This window comes from Homo sapiens, chromosome 15 (genome assembly GCF_000001405.40).
Source record: "Homo sapiens chromosome 15, GRCh38.p14 Primary Assembly".
Lineage (NCBI taxonomy): Eukaryota > Metazoa > Chordata > Mammalia > Primates > Hominidae > Homo > Homo sapiens.
Window position 1 is genome coordinate 49401406 of NC_000015.10, and position 21745 is coordinate 49423150.

At 37.2% G+C, this 21745-nt stretch overlaps 1 protein-coding gene across 25 annotated transcripts in view; it reads right to left on the reverse strand.

The window, feature by feature from the left end:
* The window catches only part of FAM227B (family with sequence similarity 227 member B), a 293849-nt gene that overhangs the window by 74436 nt on the left and 197668 nt on the right, over nt 1-21745 (reverse strand). For 5 of the 25 annotated variants that reach the window (XM_024449865.2, XM_047432228.1, NM_001330293.2 and 2 more), the window contains one exon: nt 20995-21309. The exons of the other annotated variants lie outside the window; for them this stretch is intronic. In XM_024449865.2, the coding sequence (XP_024305633.1) occupies nt 21305-21309 (5 nt within the window). In that variant the 3' untranslated portion in view covers nt 20995-21304. Of the gene's footprint in view, nt 1-20994; nt 21310-21745 lie in introns of those variants that run through there. 25 annotated transcript variants of the gene reach the window in all.

Genomic DNA, 21745 nt, shown 5'->3' on the forward strand with positions numbered 1-21745 from the left:
CTGTAAACTAGTTCAACCCTTGTGGAAGTCAGTGTGGCGATTCCTCAGGGATCTAGAACTGGAAGTACCATTTGACCCAGCCATCCCATTACTGGGTATATACCCAAAGGACTATAAATCATGCTGCTATAAAGACACATGCACATGTATGTTTATTGCGGCATTATTCACAATAGCAAAGACTTGGAACCAAGCCAAATGTCCAACAATGATAGACTGGATTAAGAAAATGTGGCACATATACACCATGGAATACTATGCAGCCATAAAAAATGATGAGTTCATGTCCTTTGTAGGGACATGGATGAAATTGGAAATCATCATTCTCAGTAAACTATCGCAAGAACAAAAAACCAAACACCGCATATTCTCACTCATAGGTGGGAATTCAACAATGAGATCACATGGACACAGGAAGGGGAATATCACACTCTGGGGACTGTTGTGGGGTGGGGGGAGGGGGGAGGGATAGCATCGGGAGATATACCTAATGCTAGATGACGAGTTAGTGGGTGCAGCGCACCAGCATGGCACATGTATACATATGTAACTAACCTGCACAATGTGCACATGTACCCTAAAACTTAAAGTATAATAAAAAGAAGAAAAAAAAAATCTTACCAAAACTGCATTCCAGCTCTGATCTAGCTCAACCACTGATTAAATCATAGTCTCAGTCCCTCTTCCTAAATGAGAAAAGGAAGAACCACCTCTGGTGACAAGTAACATCATCTTCAGACTCTATAGTTCTTTTGTATACAAGCTTGGTGTACAATAAAATACTGCAAGACAAGCAAAGGGCATGATAGAAAGACACAGAGATGATGTGTATATGGCTCTTCTTTGTTTTTGCAGAGAAAGGGCTATTTGGGCTCTTTTTGGATTCCATATAAATTGTTAGGAAAAGTTTTTCCTAATTCTGTGAAGAATGTCAATGTCATTGAATCTATAAATTACTTTGGGCCACATGGCCATTTTCACAATATTGATTCTGTCTATCCATGAGCATGGAAGGTTTTTCCATTTGTTTGTGTCCTCCAATTTCTTTAAGCAGTCTTTTGTAGTTCTTACTGAAAAGGTCCTTCACTTCCCTTGTTAGCTGTAATTCCTAGGCATTTTATTTTTATTGTAGCAATTGTGAGTGGGAATTCATTCACAATTCATGATTTGGTTCTCTATACCTATTGTTTGTATATAGGAATGATAGCAATTTTTGCACATTGATTTTGTATCCTGGGACTTTGCTGAAGTTGTTTATCAGCTTAAGAAGCTTTTGGACTGAGACAATGGGGTTTTCTAGATATAGGATCATGTCATCTGCACAGAAAGATAATTTGACTTCCTCTCTTCCTATTCGAATACTCTTTCTTTCTCTTGCCTGATTGCCCTGGCCAGAGCTTCCAATGCTATGTTGAATAGGAGTGGTGAGAGTGGATATCCTTGTGTTGTGCCGATTTTCAATAGGAATGCTTCCAGCTTTTGTCCATTCAGTATGATATTGGCTGTGGGTCTGTCATATATGGCTCTTATTTCGAGGTATGTTCCTTCAATACCTAGTTTATTGAGAGTTTTTAACTTGAAAGCATGTTGAATTTTATTGAAGGCCTTTTTTCTGCATCTATTGAGATAATCATGTGGTTTTTGTCTTTAGTTCTGTTTATGTGACGAATCACATTTACTGATTTGTGTATGTTGAACCAACCTTGCATCCCAGGGATGAAACCAACTTGATCATGGTGGATAAGCTTTTGGATGTGCTGCTCGATTTAGTTTGCCAGTATTTGGTTGAGGATTTTTGCATCTATGTTCATCAAGGGTATTGGCCTGAAGTTGTATCTCTACCAGGTCTTGGTATCAGGATGATGCTGGCCTCACAGAATGAGCTAGGGAGGGGTCCCTCCTTTGCAATTTTTTGGAATAGTTTCAGTAGAAATGGTCCAGCTTTTCTTTGTACCTTTTGGTAGAATTCAGCTATGAATCTGGTCCTGCATTTTTATTGGTTGGTAGGCTATTTATTATCGCCTTAATTTCAGAACATGTTATTGATCTATTCAGGGATTCAATTTCTTCCTGGTTCAGTCTTGGGAGTGTGTATGTGTCCAGGAATTTATCCATTCCTTCTAGATTTTCTAGTTTATGTGCACAGAGGTGTTTATAGTATTCTCTGATGGTTGTTTGTATTTCTGTGAGCTAGGGGTAATATCCCCTTTGTCTTTTGTGATTGTGTTTGTTTGGATCTTCTCTCTTTTCTTTATTGGTCTAGCTAGCAGTCTATCTAGTTTATTAATTTTTTTCAAAAAAAAACTGCTAGATTCACTGATCTTTTGAATGTTTTTTCGTGTCTTAATCTCCTTCAGTTTAGCTCTGATTTTGGTTATTTCTTGTTTTCTGCTAGCTTTGGGGTTGGTTTTCTCTTGGTTCTCTAGTTCTTTTAGTTGTGATGTTAGGTTGTTAACTTGAGATCTTTTTATCTGTTTTATGTGGGCATTTAGTCCTATACATTTCCCTCTTAACACTGCCGTAGCTGTGTCCCAGAGATTCTGGTATGTTGCATCTTTGTTCTCATTAATTTCAAAGAACTTCTTAATTTCTTCCTTAATTTCATTATTTACCCAAAAGTTATTTGGGAGCAGGTTATTCAATTTCCATGTAATTGTATGATTTTGAATGCATTTCTTATTCTTGATTTCTAACTGTATTGTGCTGTGTGTGGTCCAAGAGACTGGTTGTTATGATTTGAGTTCTGCATTTGCTGAGGAATGTTCTGTGTTCAATTATATGATCAATTTTAGAGTATATACCATGTGGCAATGAAAAGAATGTGTATTCTCTTGTTTTGGGTGGAGAGTTCTGTAAATATCTATCAGGTCCATTTGATCCAGTGCTGAGTTCAGTTCTTGAGTATCTTTGTTAATTTTCTGCCTCAATGATCTGTATTAATACTGTCAGTGGGGTGTTAAAGTCCCCCACTATTACTGTATGAGAGTCTAAGTCTCTTTGAAGGTCTCTAAGAAGTTGCTTTATGAATCTGGGTACTCCTGTGTTGGGTGCATATATATTTAGGATAGTTAGGTCTTCTTACTGAATTGAACCCTTTATCATTATGTAACACCCTTCCTTGTCTTTTTTTTATGTTTGTTGGTTTAAAGTTTGTTTTGTCTGACATTAGGATTGCAACTCCTTTTTTTTTCACTTTTCCATTTTCCTGGTAGTTTTTTCTCCATCCCTTTACTTTAAGACTATGGGTGTCATTGCATGTGAGATGCATCTCTTGAAGACAGTATACCAATGGGTCTTGGTTCTTTATCCAGCTTGCCACTCTATGTCTTCTAATTGGGGTATTTATCCCATTTACATTCATGGTTAGTATTATTGTGTGTAGATTTGATCCTGTCATCATGATGTTAGCTGGTTCGTATGGGCGCTTGTTTATGTGGTTGTTTTATAGTGTCACTGATCTGTGTGTTTTTGTAGTGGCTGGCAATGGTTTTTCCCGTCCATATTTAGTGCTTCCTTCAGGAGCTCTTGTAAGGCAGTTCTGGTGGTAACTAATTCCCACAGCATTTGCTTGTCTGAAAAGGATATTATTTCTCCCTCACTTATGGAGCTAGTTTGATGAGAAATGAAATTCTGGGTTGGAATTCACTTTCTTTAATAATGTTGAATATTGGCCCCCAATCTCTTCTGGCTTGTAGGGTTTCTGCTGAGAAGCCCTCTGTTAGTCTTATGGGCTTCCCTTTGTAGGTGACCTGATCTTTCTCTCTAGCTGCCTTTAACATTTTTTCTTTCATTTCAACCTTAGAGAATCTGATGATTATGTGTCTTGGGATGATCTTCTTGTGTGAAATATCTTACTGGGGTTCTCTGCCTTCCCAAATTTGAATGTTGACCTCTTTAGCTAAGTAGAGGAAGTTCTTATGAATGATATCCTGAAATATGTTTTCCAACTTGCTTGTACTCACCCCATCTCTTTTGGGGACACCAATGAGTCATAGAGTTGGTTTCTTTAAATAATCCCATATTTCTCAGAGATTTTGTTTGTTGCTTTTTATTCTTTTTTCTCTATTCTTGTCCAACTGTCTTATTTCAGAAAGCCAGTCTTCAAGCTCTGAGATGCTTTCTTCAATGTGGTCTATTCTGTTATTAACACTTGTGATCACATTGTAAAATTATTGTAGCATGTTTTTCAGCTCTATCAGGTTGATTATGTTCCTTTCTATAGTGGCTATTCTGTCTGTCAGCTTTTACATCATTTTATTTTAGCTTCCTTAGATTGGGTTTCAATGTACTCCTGCATCTCAATGATCTTCATTTCTATCCATATTCTGAATTCTATTTCTGTCATTTCAGCCATCTCAGCCTGGTTCAGAACCCTTGCTGGAGAAGTGATGCAGTCATTTGGAGCAAAGAAGGCACTCTGGCTTTTTGAGTTGTCAGGGTTCTTGAGCTGGTTCTTTCTCATTTTTGTGGGCTTATGTTCCTTCAGTCTTTGAAGTGCTGACCTTTGAATGGTTATTTCTTTTATCCTATGTGATGACCCGGAAGGTTTGATTGTGGTATAAGGTAGATTTAACCAACTGGCTTCATTTCTGGAAGATTCCAGGGGGCCAACGCTCAGCTCCCAACTCCTGGACTGCGAGCTCTAACTCTGAGGGACTTGTATTGGGCCCTGACTTTGTTCTCTGGCTCCGCAAGGTTAGAAATCCACTGTCCTGGGGGAGCTGAGTTGCTCCCAGACCACTGGTCACTGCATTCTGATGGGTGGTGTCGGTCAAAGCTTTTCATAGCGCAGTGACAGCAGGATCCATTTTTGTTCACACATGCCAGCAGCAGCAGCAGCAGCAATAGAAATGTGGTGGGGTGCACACTCGTTGGCTGAAGCAGGGTGCTACTGGATGCCAGGGTTCCTGTTTTCATATGGGCATTCATCACAGTGGCAGAGGCAATATGGCTCCAGGACTGATGGGTTGGGGGGCATCCCTGCTGGTGACTGCAGGCGGTTGCACTGTTGATAGTGTTGGCACGGTGTTGGGGCGCTGGAGGGCACAGGACTATGTGTGATTTATGCACTGCAGGCAGGCGTGATCACTCAGGGTGGGGGAGGGTCTGCTGTTCTCCATGCTTAGCTTCACTCCCACAGCAGCAGCTTTGGCGGGAGGGTGGGGTGCTGGCCGGGGTGGGGCTGGCTAGCTGGCTAAGTGCCGGCCAAGGCTCCAACTGCAATGATGGTTAGTGGTGGGGAGTGCCGTGGGGGAGCGGAGTGCACTTCTGACCCAGCAGTGGCAGGGCAGGGTGCATACACAGAGACGTGCACACACACACACACTGGCAGGGCAAGGAAAGCAAAACCCACCCATACGCATGTGTGCCGGTACATGTTTGGGGTTTGCTGTGGGCCTGAGGGAAGACACAGTGTGGAGAGGGAGCAGGCAGAGCAGCCGGGCTGGCCATGGGGACTGCCCCACTGGCGCTCTCCACCAGTCAAGCATGATCCACCAGTGCAGGAGTTATGAGGCAGGACCCCAGAACACCCGAGGATGCCCTGCAAGCAGATGTGGCAAGGCTGGAGGCCCAGGAGAAGCCAGCAGACCAAGAAGTGCTCAGGTTGGACTGGCCCCGTCTGATGGGCAAGACTGACCTGCAGAGTTCAGGTCCGACAGTTCTCCTGGGGCTAATGTCTCCTATGGGAGCAAGCCAAGCCTAGGAGGATGGCTGTCCCTGGCCGTGTTCTGCTACACATGCTCTCATGCCAAACCCTCTGGGCTCCACATCAGCTGGCTTGCTGTCCCTACCACTTTTCTAAGCAGCTCTCCCTGTCAACTTGAGTGTCTGTGGTGGTTTAGGAGTCTCCTCCTGCACTAAGGCCCATGGTGAGAGCCGGTTGCTCCTTGCCAGTTCAACTGGCCCATTCTCCTTGAGTCGCTGGGAACCAGGAATAAGTCCTGGTGCACCATAGCCCAGGGCAGGGTTCCTGGCTTTTTCCCACTTCAGCCCAGCTTCTGTGTTTTCCCTGTGACCACACTTGGTGCCTTCCCTCTGAAGATCTGTTAGGAATACACCAGTCATCTCAGTCCCTCGGTGGCAGCTGTTCCACCTGGCTTTGTCTAGTCTGCCATCTTGCCCTCTCCCCTATTTTTAAAATTTTAACACTGAGATTCAAATATATATTTAACTAGTTTCTTTACTCTCCGCTGTTTTGTCCCTCATTCGTACTAATATATATGTATTTAATATATATATTATATTATTATTATATTAATTATATATAGTACTAATATATATATAATATGTATTTATATATGAGGTATCATTTATATGCTGTAATTTTCACCTTTAGTTTTGTGAGTTCTGCCAAAAGTACATGATTGTGTAACTACCCCCACAATCAAGATATAGAACTGTTCCATCACCCAAGTAATCCTTTCATGCCCGGTTGTTGTCAATCTCTCATCCCCACTCCACATCCGCTGGCAATCTGTTTCTGTACCTATAGTTTTTGCCTTTCTAGAACATAAAATGGAACCATACAGCATGTAGCCTTTTGGGTCTGGCTTCTTTCACTTAGCATAATGCATTTGAGATTCATGCACATGTTCTACATACCAGTAAATAGTTTATTTTTATTGTTGAGTAGTATTTCATCCTTTTTGTTTTGTATCCCACATTTCCTCTTGGAAACATTTTTTATTTTGCCACAGTAATTATTTCAGGGAGGGTCTAAAGTTGGGAAACATTTGAAGTTCTTATTTGCAAGAAAACGTTTTTATTTATACTTGCATCTGAATAATATTTTAACTGGTATATATTTTAGCTTAATATCATTTTGCTCAAATCTTTGTAGGTATTCTGTACTTTCTTCTAGCATCAAGTGCTGCCTAATGATATAATCTGATGCCAATCTGATTCTAGTTCCTTTGTAAGCAACTTGTGCAAATTTTATTTTTAGAAACTTTCAATATTTTCTACTTATTGTTTGAGTTCAGAGGTTTCACCATGACATGGGTCTTCACTCATTATGCTTAGCCATTGGTGGGTCATTTCAATTGATCACTTGAGTTCTTATTCAATTTTGTAAAGTGTTCATTGCTCTCTCGCTTTTCCTTCATATTTTCTTCCTGGAATTCGTTTTGAAGTGAAGATAAACTATCTAAATTGATCTTCCATATCCTTTAACATTTCTCTATTTTCTGCCTCTCTGTTTTTTGTTCTAATTTTGAATGCTGGACATTACAAATCATTTATTTGTTTTTTAGCCATATTCAGTCTATTACTTAACCATTCTGCCAAATTATTTGTTCTGCTATCATAGTCTTGATACCTAATCCTGTTTTTTTCTGCTTCATTTTCTGTCAGATTATGCTTTTAAAATAATGCAATATAATTTCAAATAAGCTCCATGGGAGCAAGTAACATGTGTTGTTGTGGTGGTTTTTTCTGGGGGTGGAGGGGTGGGGTTATATCACCATGGCATTTACTACCACAATTCAGAGTCTGATACATAGTAGGAGGTGTATAGTGAATATTTTAAAAATGAATGAGTATATAAATTCTAGTAAGAATTTGAAATACATATTTTATATTTCTTGGATTGCCTTTATGAAGGATCAGTTTTCTTGGTGCCTTCACTTTGATCTTTCTTCTTTTCTGCAAATGTTTGTCATCTTTGGTTCATATGTATGATTAAAGATTGAGTTTAGTATTATGGATGGCTGGCATGAGAGTCCTCTGGAGATGAGTATGCTTTCTTTCTTAGCAAGTTTCACTTCAGTATTGGAGGGCTTCTTATTTGGGTTCTTTACATGTGAACTGACCATGTCAACAAGCATATTCCACTTTAAGATGCGGCACACTTGAAAAAGTGAAGCATGCTAGGGACACCCTCCCCACCCCCTTTATGAAAATAAACCGTATGTTGAAAGTAATAGTGGCTAAAGGCTCAGGCTTCAGATTAGCCCTTCTGTATCAATATTCCAATTTATTTCAAACTTTATTAACTTGTGAAAGTTACTTAAATTCTCTTGTGCCTTGTTTCTTCATCTGGAAAATGAGGATAAAGGAGTACTTGTACTCTTTTATTACTGTTCCTTCTCTCTCTCTTTCTATATATATATAGTTATATATATGTATATATAAATAGGAATATATATATATGCCAAAAGAGAGATATATAGAAACTTGAAACAGTGGCTGGCACTTAATAAAGGCTCAATAAATGCTGTTGTTGTAATTATTATTGTTATTACTATTTTCTTCCTGGACAAAACTATCTCTCGTTTAACTTTCTAGCAATGTTTGCTGGAGAACTGAAGTCACCTCAAATTTTATTCCACTTCTTTCCCTGTTCTGGCAAACTATACCTAAGACTAGTTTCATCACTTGCAAAATGAGGATAAAAATAATGCCAACTTAATATGACTGCATTATTTAACTTTATAAAATGCTTAGAAAACTGCCTGGCATGCAGTAAGTGTTATGTAAGGCTTTAATATATAAAATAGAGATATATGCCAGAAGATTAGTCTCTTTCTGTTTTCTACTGTATTCATCTCTGCTTTTACTGTTTATTAGGATCATTCAGGCTCTAGTATTTCCCTTGTTCTCATTTCTTTTCAGGCTCACCTTCCCACATGAGGTTTCTGCTCAATCTCACCTATAATGCTGGCACTAGAATTATCTAATTATCTTCTTTCACAACTGTACTCTCACTTCGGATCTTCTAAAGCACCCTATTTATTTTTTGCATCCACTCTCCAGCCCTTTAGGCTTCTTCAAGTGGAAATTTGTCCTCTATTATTCTTGTAACATGTGATGGACTCAGAGAAGTTAAATAACTTGCCTATGTCACACAATTATTAAGAACAATATTTCAAATGCAGAATGTCTGATTGCAAATCGTTTGAACCCTGACAGCTCCCCATAGGCCACGTTGTTTCATGCTGCCTCTGAATACTATATCCTCTCATAATGCACATAGCTTTATGTTTTGTAAGTAGTTTTCAATAATTTCTCACTTAACATCTATTTGCTCTTTTTTAGTAGTTCTAATGTTTTTGTCTTCTTTTTTCAGTACATAGTCTTCACTATCACCTCATTTACACAGCACATAAGTTGTGTCATTTCAATTGTGAACTCTCAGAAATGAATAGCTATTGAAAATAGCGAATCATTTTCCATGTTTAGTTTAAAAAATTTGTCATTTTGAAAAAGGTTTCCAAATATTGTTTCTTTAAATGATTACCCACACAAACCCCACCTCCATAAACTTTTATCTTAAAAAAAAGGCTGCCAAGTTAGACTACATGAATAGCTCTTTTAAAGTTACTGGATAAAAGTTTAAATTACCAGAAGTTGAACCATTATGGGTTATTATTTGAGAATTCTTTGACTTCTATAACATGATGCTACTCTCAGAGGAATACTGATTAGAATGGAAACCAGATGTGTTTTTCAAGACTAGATTGAAAAAATGATAAACAAGTAGAAAATTAATATAAGAATGACCTAATGAGTTTTCTAGAAACCTGAAGCATGGGAATGACAGAAAAAGCATTTGAGAGTGTGTGTGTGTGTGTGTGTATGTGTGTGTGTGTATCTGTGTGTGGGGGGGGTGGGCAGGGAGAGAGGGAGTGAAAGTAAGCAAATGAGAGAGGGAGCTAGGAAAAAAATATAAAAAAGTGGAAAATAAAAATGCAGAGAAAGGGAAGGAGGTTGGATAGGATAAAAAACAGTTGCAGAATTGAAAATAGAACCCCCCAAAAAATCCCCAAATCTTTGTAAATATTTGGTATCACCAGGGTAATAGCATAATATAATTTTATCTGTAAACCAAGGAAGTGAAAAACAGAAAAAAAGATGATTTCTCATTCTAAAAGGGATAAATTAAGTACTAACGAGATGAGGAACATTGTTGAAAGAAAAAAAGTCCCCTTTTAAATCAAAATATATTCTAGGTATGCTAAAATAATCCAAAAATTTTATATATTTCATTCTTTCTTGTCCACCTTTTTGAGAGAGAAAATGAACAATGATATTTTTGATACTTCTGAGTTTGCATTCTGGTTTCATATTTGATGACACTGGAAATAAAGTATATTTATTGTCACAATATGTCGACATGCTGAGTGGTATAAAATGGAATGGAAGGCATAAAGAAGGCAATCAAGGTAAAGGATGAGTACATATAAAACATTTCATTACCAGTTTTGAAATAGACTTTTACTTAATCCTTTGGTTGTACTAAGAACTAGAATTATCCCCTTTAATTTTATTTATTCAAGGCAAAAATAATAAATATTATCCTAATAAACCATGTATTCTTAGCATAATTTGAAATATGGCGGAAGTTCTTATATTTGGAATCTCTCAATTCAGAATTTGTTACCATTCAAATTGGGCTTTGAATTCAAACTTGTCTTTTTTGCTTCGCAGACATTTCCAAAATTGTGCACAAATAATAGGATATATCAATTGTTATGGGGAATTTTAAATATTTTAGAGAGAAAGCAATTTTCAAACATCTTTCAGTACTTTTACATCCTCATTTGCAGATAACCTAATAAGCTATTTCCATATTCTTTTATTGATTCAATTAAACCAGGTGACAGTTTGATTTATTACACATACAGTACTTGGCATTAAGAAGCAATATTTCGTCTAAAACATGCTATAATTTTGTATTTCTACTTATTCAGCAGCTTTCTAAGCTCATGCTACAATGTTTCCAACTTCCAAACTACTTAGGCTAAGAAATGAAAGCTATAATCATGTGTAGCCAAAAAATTATATTAGAAAAAAATCAGTCTTATTTTGTTGTTCTTCTGGGCACTATAAAATGATTAATATAATTTTTGCCAAATTAGCCATTTTTTCTTGGCATTAGACAATATTTTAGTTTTAACATATTCTTTTTGTTGTGCAATACAGGGTGGTGTTATAATCTGATATGAGCAACTCTACTACTATGTTTCTCTGCTAACATCCTTCTATGGAAAGAAGTATAGCTTTCAGGAATATGAAAGCAATTTTCTTTCAGGTAAAATAACCAGAGAGGGTACTAAGGATTAATTTTTTTCAAAATATCAACACTGTTATTCTTAAAATTTTTTTTTTCTCAGTGTCACAAGAATTGATTTGAACACGAAGTACATTGACTTGTTTTTTGGCAACTTTGAAACCCATTTATAGCTGAAATCAAAGAATAAATCAGTTTTAGGTTTTCACAATAACGTCCCATGATATAGTTTGACTTCCGATATCATGTATTATATTACTGGGGCCTATGATATGCTGGTTGTCAGAGACATCCTTAATTAGAAAAATGAGGGAGGATGGCCCTTATTATTTTCATTAAAATGCATAGTCAATACTGCACAAGAAAAACTTTCCTTTTGCACCAGATATCCTTAAAAAGAGATTTTGTTTCTATTTCCACACTTGTGTGGAAATTGAATTTCAAGATGCTTCTTGGTTCTCATTCAAAGGAGTAAAAAGGTCCAGATCTCTCTGATCCAGAATGAATTGGCCCTTGGGTGATAGCATTTCTCTCAGCCAAACTTTCCAGTTGTCTGATTTTCCCCTCTAATCCTGGTCTTCTCCCAGTCTCCCTTAGCTCAGCAAATGACATCACCATTTATCCAGTTACAAATATTGGACATCTGGAATTTAACCTTGACTCCTCTTTGTCTCTTACATTGAATAAGGCTTTGTCTCTGATATGGTTTGGCTCTGTGTCCTCACCCAAATCTCATCTTGAATTGTACTCCCATAATTCCCACATGTTGTGGGAGGGACCTGGTGGGAGATAAGTGAATCATGGGGGCAGTTGCCTCCATACTGTTCTCATGGTAGTGAATAAGTCTTACGAGATCTGATGGTTTTGTAAGGGGTTTCAGCTTTTGCTTCTCTCTCATTCTCTCTCTTTACCTGCTACCATCTGTGTAAGACCTGACATGCTCCTCCTTGTCTTCCACCATGATTGTGAGGCCTCCCCAACCATGTGGAACTGTGGGTCGATTAAACGTCTTTCTTTTGTAAATTGCCCAGTCTCGGGTATGACTTTATCAGCAGCATAAGAACAGACTAATAACAGTCTCCAACATACATCTAACTACTCCTTTCCATCTCCCTTACCATAATTAGTCTAAGATATAATCTCTGACCTGTATTTCAATTATGGCCTCCTAACCAGTCTCCTTATTTCAACTTTTGCCATCTCCCAAACATTCTCCAAAAAGTTTTCAGAATGATTATACCCATTATACTTGCTAATTACAATCTATTATACTTAGGATCAAATCCAAAGTCTTTAATGTTAGTATCAACGCCTTATGTACATTGGTCTCGTGTTGCCCAACTTTCCCTTTGTTCAGTATACTCCAGTTATACTATCTTTTGGTTTCTAGAACACAACAAGCTCATTTTCACCTCAGAACTTTTGCTCTTGTTACCTTTATCTAGAATGCTCTACCTCCACTTCTGATTTCTTCTCATGTATCAGATCTGAGCTTAAATAGCAATTCTACAGAAAGACATTTTGTAATGAGATTTGAAACATCCTTCTCCTTTCTGTGTTAAATGATACCATAGTAACCTATTTATTTCCTCCTGAAATAGCCATCAGAGTTATTTTTAATATCTATTATCCACCCCCTCCTCCAATAATTTAAGCTCTAAGTCAGGGACCTTGCTTATCTTATTGAACAGTATGTCATAATGCACACTATTCGAATACAGAGTAAGTGTTGATTTAAAGTAATTAGCTGAGTTATCAGTTAACTAGGACCAAGGACTTTATTGCATCATTAAAAACTCAATATGTAAAATTTCAAAGGAAATATCTGATAATTGGTTACACAACTCTTGGGTTCCTCATGCAGACTGAATATATAAGAGAAAGAGATGGGGAGATAGGGAGAGAAGGTAGAGAGGGAGAGAATTTGTAAGGGGGATTTCTTCTCTGTTAGTCCACTTCTCTACCAAGAGGTGAAGTGTGTGGGGGGAGGGAGGGGGGAAATCTCCCTACACCCCAAACCAAGTGAGAGAGCCTAGTGTTTGGGGGATGTTGAGGATCATAGAGGGCATTGGAAACAGTAGTCTGCATATTGGAAAAAGAAAAGTAGAGTTTTATTTAGGAAAAATGGGGATGTTACTGATGACTTTGGGGCAGAGAAATAACATGGTTGCAATTATATTTTAGAAAGATTAATCTCATAACAACATTTAAAATGGATTGGAGATTGGGGAGAGAAGATACAAAGAGGTGGATTAGGAATAGAATTAATGTGAACTATAACAATAACTTGATCTAGGATGTGAAAGTGATAATTGATAGGAAGAAACAGGTGTAGAAGAAGTTGTGGTAGAATTGACATTTTTTGGAATTAATTAGAGGAATAAGGAGGACTCACTATGTTTGAATTAATATTAAAAACTATCGAGGGAAAAATATAAGTTGTAGCTGAGGATAGAAATAACGTTTAGCTTGAAGAGGAGCTTAAGCAGAAGTATAAACCTCCTTTCTCATGCATAAGTTATTGCGATAGCCACCAGTTTTACACAAATACAAATTTTTACTGAATACTTGGCTTTTCATGGATGTAGCTCTATAATTAAGGTGGTGGACTCCCTAACTTTCTTTTTCTTCTTTACTATCATAATTACTTTTACTCTGCCTCTTTTTCTCACTTTTGAACATGCTTTGAAAGCTAATGAATTGAAAATTAAGCCAGTTTTGCTACTAACACATTGATATCCAGGAAACATTTTTAAAAGAAAAATTGCTATTGCTAGTTTTACCCCTCATTTTGCTGCCTTGCTACATAGACAATTCATGTAGAACCAAATAATGACAATTTAGAGCTAACAATGTAATAACCTCAATTGCACAAGGTCTTTGTGTTTGTCATGATGTCCTTCTAGGGATGAAGCAAAATTCTCTCTGTGAGAACATTTTTCAACATTTAGAATGGCATGAAGCTGTCAAAACTAGGTACCAATGTAAAGCACTTACTCAAGGAAATTGATTGTTTCCTAAAGTTAAGCAGTAACTTAAGGGGAATCAAGACAATCTAGAATGAATTACATAATATGCTTTCATTATATAGAAATGTACAAGTGGAAAAAAAAACCCAAACTAGTAGCTCCAACTAGAGATTTTGCTCTAGGTCTAAAGTTGTATCACAATTCAGTAAATTCATAATATAATTTTAAGAACTTTAAATTTAGATTAGCATTTCAGATAACTTCTTACAAATATAAAATTAAAGCATAAATTTTTATAGACTCAGAGATACAAGAGTCAAGTAACTTTTGTAAACTGAGATATTTATATATTTGAGTCACCAGCACACCACAATTTTGAACATATGACTCATACTTTGTATCTTATATACAGTTAGTTTTAAAATGTTAGGGCATTATGCCAAGGGTAAGCACAAGTTTACATAATTGAGGATTTATAGGGACCTCAGGCTTGCTCAATTACTTTTGGGATTTTATGCCAGAGTTTAAACTACTGTCTTTGACCAGGCCCATCAAGTTTGGGTTGACGTGTCCATACTACAGCCTCCTTTTATATTAATACTTAGAATAAACTCAATCTCCTATTACCATGACCTACAAAGTTCATTATGATCTGGTCCCTGCCTACCTCTTCAGGTTCATTCACCTCTCACTACTTTTTCCATTTTTCATTCATATTAGCCTTCATTCAGTTCTTGGAACACACCAAGATCCACCCCACCCCCCACCCCCCACCAATCTACTTGTTTATGTTTGTTCTCTCACTGGAATGCATGCTCTGTTAGGGCAGAGGTCACTTCCAGAATATTCACCATTGTATCTCCAAAAGGCCAGAACAACATCTGGCACCGAGTATCTATTTGATAAATATTTGTTAGATGGATGAATCAAGGAAATAAGTAAGATTGGTTATATGGCATGACCCAGGGTTCAAGCTGATTTATGGAATGGGGTGGACAGAAGAAAAGAGGAAGATAAATTCATAGTGTAAGGACATCTCTGAGAATGTAGTAGAAATATGTCTTGGACAAAGATGCCCTCTCTCACCACTTCTATTCAGCATCGTATTTGAAGTCCGAGTCAGAACTATCAGGCAAGAGAAAGAAATAAAAGGCATCCAAATAGGAAGAGAAGAAGTCAAACTACCCTGTTTGCAGATGACATGATTTTCTATGTAGAAAATCGCATAGTCTCTGTCCAAAAGCTCTTTGAATTGATAAATAACTTTAGCAAAGTTTCAGGACACAACATCAATGTACAAAAATCACTAGCATTCTTATACACCAACAGTCAAGCTGAAAGCCAAATCAGGAACACAATCCCATCCACAATTGCCACACACACATAGACACACACACACACACACACACACACAAACACACAAATACCTAGGAATACAGCTAACCAGGGAGGTGAAAGATCTCCAAAATGAAAATTATAAAACATTGCTCAAAGAAATCAGAGATGACACAAATGCATGGAAAAAGATTCCATGTTCATGGATAGGAAGAATCAAGATCATTAAAATGGCCACACTGCCTAAAGCAATTTATACATTCAATGCTATTCCTATCAAACTACCAATGACATTCTTCACAGAACTAAAGAAAACTAGTTTAAAATTCATATGGAACCATAAAAGAGCCTGAAGATCCAAGGCAATCCTAGGCCAAAAGAACATAGCTGGTTGGGTGCAGTTGCTCACACCTGCAATCCCAGCATGTTGGGAAGCCCAGGTAGGCAGACTGCTTGAGGCCAGGAGTTTGAGACCAGCCTGGGCAACAAGGAAAAATCCTGTCTTTGCAAAAAATACAAAAAAATAGCCTGGTATGGTGATGCATGCCTGTAGTCCCAGCTACTCAGGAGGCGGGAGGATCACCTGAGCCCAGAAACTTGAGGCTGCAGTAAGCCATGATTATGCCACTGCGCTTCAGTCTGGGTGACTCTCTTAAAAAAATAATGACAAAGCTGGAGGCATCATGCTACCCGACTTCAAACTATACTATAAGGCTACAGTACTAAAACAGTATGGTACTGGTACAGAAAGAGACACATAGACCAATGGAACAGAATGAGCCCAGAAATAAGGCTGCACACCCACAACTATCTGATCGTTGACAAATCTCACAAAAACAAGCAATGAAGAAATAACTCCCTATTCAATAAACGGTGCTGGGATAACTGGCTAGTCATATGAAGCAGACTGAAGCTGGACCCCTTCCTTGCACCACGTACAAAAATAAACTAAAGATGGATTAAAGACTTAAATGTAAAACTTAAAACTATAAAAACCCTGGAAGATAACCTAGTAAATACCATTCTGGACATAGGAACTAGCAAAGATTTCATGACAAACATGCCAAAAGCAATTGCAACAAAAGCAAAAATTGACAAATGGGATCTAATTAAGCTAAAGAGCTCCTGCACAGCAAAGGAAATTATCAACAAAGTAAACAGACAACCTACAGAACAGGAGAAAATTTTTGCAAACAATGCATCTGACAAAGATTTAACATCCAACATCTATAAGGAGCTTAAACAAATTTATAAGCAAAACCAAACAGCCCCATTAAAAAGTGGGCAAAGGACATGAACAATTTTGAAAAGACATACATGTGTCTAAAAAACATATGAAAGAATGCTCAATACTGCTAATCATTAGAGAAATGCAAATAAAAAACACAGTGAGATACTATCTCAGATCAGTCAGAATGGCTATTACTAAAAAGTCAAAAAATAAACGCTGGCAAGCTTGCAGAGAAAAGGGAACACTTACACACTGCTGATAGGAGTGTAAATTAGTTCAACCATTATGGAAAGAAGTGTGGCAATTCCTCAAAGAACTAAAGACACAATTGCCATTTGACCCAGCAATCCTATTACTGGGTATGTACCCAAAGGAATATAAATCATTCTACCATAAAGACACATGCATGTGTATGTTCATTGCAGCACTATTCACAATAGCAAAGATATGGAATCAATCTAAATGCCCTCAATGGTAGACTGGATAAAGAAAATGTGGTACATATAGACTATGGAATACTTTGCAGCCATCATGTCCTTTGCAGGAACGTGGATGGAGCTGGAGGCCATTATCCTTAGCAAACTAACACAGGAACAGCAAATCAAATATCATATTCTCCCACTTATAAATAGAGCTAAGTAGTGAGAACAAATGGACACAAACAGAGAACAACAGATACTGGGGTCCACTTGAGGGTGGAGGGAGGGAAGAGAAAATATAACTATCAGGTACTATGCTTAGTGCTTCGGTGATAATCTGTACACTGAACCCTTGTGACATGAGTTTACCTGTATAACAAATCTGCACATGTACCCCTGAACCTAAAAGATCAAAAAAAGAAAAAAAAAGAAATATGTGTTGGACCACAATTTCAGATATGCAAAGAATAACATATAAATTTATATTTATAAATATAAATCAACCTAGCTTTAATTTTGAGAATTCTGCTCTTCCAGTTTGGTAAAAAACTTAACTTCAGTTATTCTAGGGTTTCCCTCTTCTGTTTCAAGATGGGATAGATTTCAAGAGTTTTATGTATGGCCAAAGCTAAGGCATCTGGGTGTTGAGTCATTCGTCTACCCTGATTCCTCTTCTGGGGTATTCATTCACTCTGTTCACACAGTTTCTACAGTTCTGAACTCCCTCCTACTTCCAGAATTATTTTAAAATATGGGAATGTTTATGAGGGGTCCTTATGGACCTATTTGTTCAGACACATGAGGCAGCCCTGATTCTCTGGAGTATTGCTGCCTCTGCTATGTGCGGTGGTGCTGTGTACAGATAAATATACAAGCATGGCTCCCCAAATATGGGGGCCATAAATTTTCTCTATGCTCCCAGGTCCATGGGACTCTGTGATAGCTTCCCTGGGCTGCTTCTCAAATGCACTCTAGTGCTTCCTTTATTTTCAGTGCGCTTGGCATGACCTTTTGAAAGGGATTCATGTTTTACCCTAGTCAGGAAGCATTTATGACTTTTTTCCCTCAACCTTTCCTTTCCAATATCTTTTTGAAAATATGAAGAACAGAAAAAAATGGGATAAATGAACACAGTTTAATATTTCATAAGCCCATTCTGCCAATAGGAATTAAGTTTTGACCAGAACAGAGGCAGAGTAAAATTCTGATCATGTCACTCTTCTGCTTACCATATTATAATGGCTTCCTATTGCTCCTGGAATACAGATCATATGCCTTAATAAAACACATGGAGATCCTGCCTGCCTCTCCAACCTCTTCATGCACCACAGTCCCTTCTCATTCTCTCTACTGGGACCAAACCTGTGTTTCACTGTGAAAAGGACAGGTTTTTTTATTATTATTATTTTTTTATTTTTTATTTTTGTATAGTACCTCTTCACCTGGTTAACTCCCATTCATGCTGTAAAGTTGCAGCTTTAGTGGAATTCTTGCAGGGAAAGCTTACATATTGCCACTTATTATAGATACTCATGGCACTATGTATCTTTTCTTTGTAGCACTTGTCCATGATGGTTACCTTCTCTCATAAGAAGAGAAATGCAAAGGATAACTACAATTTAATGGCATTTTCACTTGTCAGACTAATAAAACTCCAAATGTTTTCACAATAAATTTTTTGAAATAAATGAGTACTCTTACCTACTGCTGGTGGGATTATAAAACTAGCACAACCTCTGTGGAGGATAAGTTGGCAATATCTTTTTTTTAATACCTTTTGTCCCAGGCAGTCTACTTCTGGAAATTGATCCTATAGATTTATTTTCGTAGTATAAAATGACATATTTTGTCTTTATTCATTACAGCATTTCTTTGGTAATAGAAAAGTACTGAAGAAAATTAAATGTTCCTCAATAGGAGGCTGCTCAAATACACTGTGATATACCCATTCGGTGGAATACCCTGTAGCTATAACAAAAACAAAAATGTGAGAAGCTTCCTAAATAATGAGATAGGAAGATTTTTCTGTTAAAAAAAAATACAAAAAAATGCATATGACGTGCTACCTTTTGTATAAAAAGGGTAAAAGTAAAAAATAATATGTATGTGTATATACATATACACACAAACATATGTATCCAGTTTGCCTGTACAAGCATAGCGAAACTCTGAAAAGATACACAAGAAACTAATAAAAAGAATTATCTATGTTTTGGGGAAGAATGAAAACTGACAGGATATGGAACAGAATAAGATGTAAGAATGAAAAGTAATGAAAATATTTAATTATGTTCCCTTCTACTGATTATATTATACATGATTATGAACGAGGCAAAGTTTTGTTTTTCTTTTTCAGATGGAGTCTCGCTTTGTCACCTAGGCTGGAGTGCAGTTGTGCGATCTCTGCTCACTGCAAGCTCTGCTTCCCAGGTTCACACCATTTTCCTGCCTCAGCCTCCCGAGTAGCTGGGACTACAGGCGCCCGCTACCATGCCCGGCTAATTTTTTTGTATTTTTAGTAGAGACGGGGTTTCACTGTGTTAGCCAGGATGGTCTCGATCTCCTGACTTTGTGATCCATCCGCCTCGGCCTCCCAAAGTGCTGGGATTACAGGCGTGAGCCACCATGCTGGGCCAGTTAATTCTTTGAAGCCAGCAATGGTGTGTTAAAAAAGAAAATTCAATCTACAAATAACAAAAAAAAGACAATAGTTCAAAGTATTCCTGTGCTTAATCTATCACTATAGGTCTATTAAAACAAGAGCAACAAACGGTTGCCAATGTATAACTTAAAACATCCAGAGGGTTACCCCATCTACAGTTGCCTAAAGTTATTCTTAGTTCCTGGAGAATTCATTTAGAAGCATAAGCATAATAAGGGCACAGTGAAATCTAAGTTTGGTTCTCCATTATAGCTGTGGTCCTAATGAATTGTGGGCCCATCCTGAATTAATAATTCTCCAATAAAAATGATAATCAAAGAATTTAAACCATTGATACAGTTCCCTTGTTGATATTAATCTGTTCATTAATATTACTTGGATCATATTTCCAAATTACAGAGTGTAATAGCATCTAATGCACTTTCATAGATCACAATTTTATTCTTTTGTTTCCCATTTTACAGTTAATCCTATGTAGCAGATATTAAGGAGGCACTAAGCACTCTTTGCTAACAAACTATCCATTTCTTTCATTTAAGTATTTAGCACTTAGTTAGCAAATGTGGACTTCTCACTTACTGATTTCTTGGTTTAAAAACTGTAGGTTCAGTATGGAACAAATGGATTTAGTAGCTCTTGAATATCTTTACACTGTAAACTTACTATTGATAACTTTTATTTCTTTAGAAGCAATATCTAAGTCCTAGGAATTCTGAGCCTGCTCATTATTGTTACCTCCCAAACTAGCGGAGTGTGATTCAGAACACAATAACATTATATTTTCTTTCCTCCTTCTCTTCCTCCTTTTAGAGAATACATGATAGGATGTTTTCAGCTTTCTAGCTTTCAACAGATGCAATGATCAAAGAGTCTGTCCCCCTCTGCTTTAATAAATGTGGAACATTCAACATTTGGCATATGAAGAGTAACTGGGTACATCTGAACTATTCTGTGCTCTTCATTCTGTTCCCTAAAGGGACAGATACAAAGAGAAATCACATAAACTATAATCCAGTTGAGTAGATTTAATTTCCTTTTCCTATTTGGTCTACATGCACCACCTGGTGGTAAAGTAGTGCATTTCACATAGAGAGAGAGAGAGAGAGAGAGAGAGTGTGTGTGTGTGTGTGTGCGCGCGCGCGCGCGTGCACGCGTGTGTGTTTTGAGGAGTATATAACATGAAAAAGATAATTTTAATATACTTTCTTAATACTGATTTAGATAGACAACACAATTATTCTACACCAAGAATCTAATACAACACTTGAGCACTACTTCATGTATAACAGAACAGGAAGTAAAGGAGAGAACTCATGCTGGAAAGTAAAATAGCTTTCACTTATTTACCTTAGCAATACATATTATAATTCCATCTCTAAATTAACATTTATTGTTCCAATATTCTTATTGAGGCAAAAATCAAACACTGATAATCAATGTGAAACCATTTCCTCCTTTTTAAAGAATAACAGCTTTTAAAAGTAGGTGCCCTGTTCCTTATATTAGTAGTGAGTATAAGTCACAGATCACAGAATTGTAAAGCACCATAGAGGCATTAGACCAATACACCAATTTTACAAATGTAGCAGCTGAGACTCTGGAACAGCAGGTAACTTGCCCGAAGTCATACTGGTCATTAGTGGTCCAACACAAATAAGAATCTAGATCTTCTCACTTTCAGCCTAGGAATATAATACATAAAAATTGTACTTATATTCATATTCAATGAATTGTCTCTGTATGATGTGATAATATTCAACTTATCTACACAGTGCTTTAAGGCACTCATATGTTAGTTAACACATACCAGTTTTGTTCTAACATTCTGAGCACAAAGAAGTAATTGAAGAAATGCATGTATCATAAAGCTATGGAAAAGATTTTCTAAGTATTAAAAAACCCTATATATATGTTCAAATGAATAATTTTCCAAGTATAATACAACTGCTATATTGCAAAGAAGGTTTAAAAAATTCCCTTTCCCCTTCTAACTGCTTCAGAACCAGAGATCTGTTTCTACAAAGTAGGTACCCACTTGTAGATTTAAGCATAAAACATGTTCATAGCTCCCTCTCATGACCATTGAATACTATACAAGCCTCCTTTTATTCTCGCTGT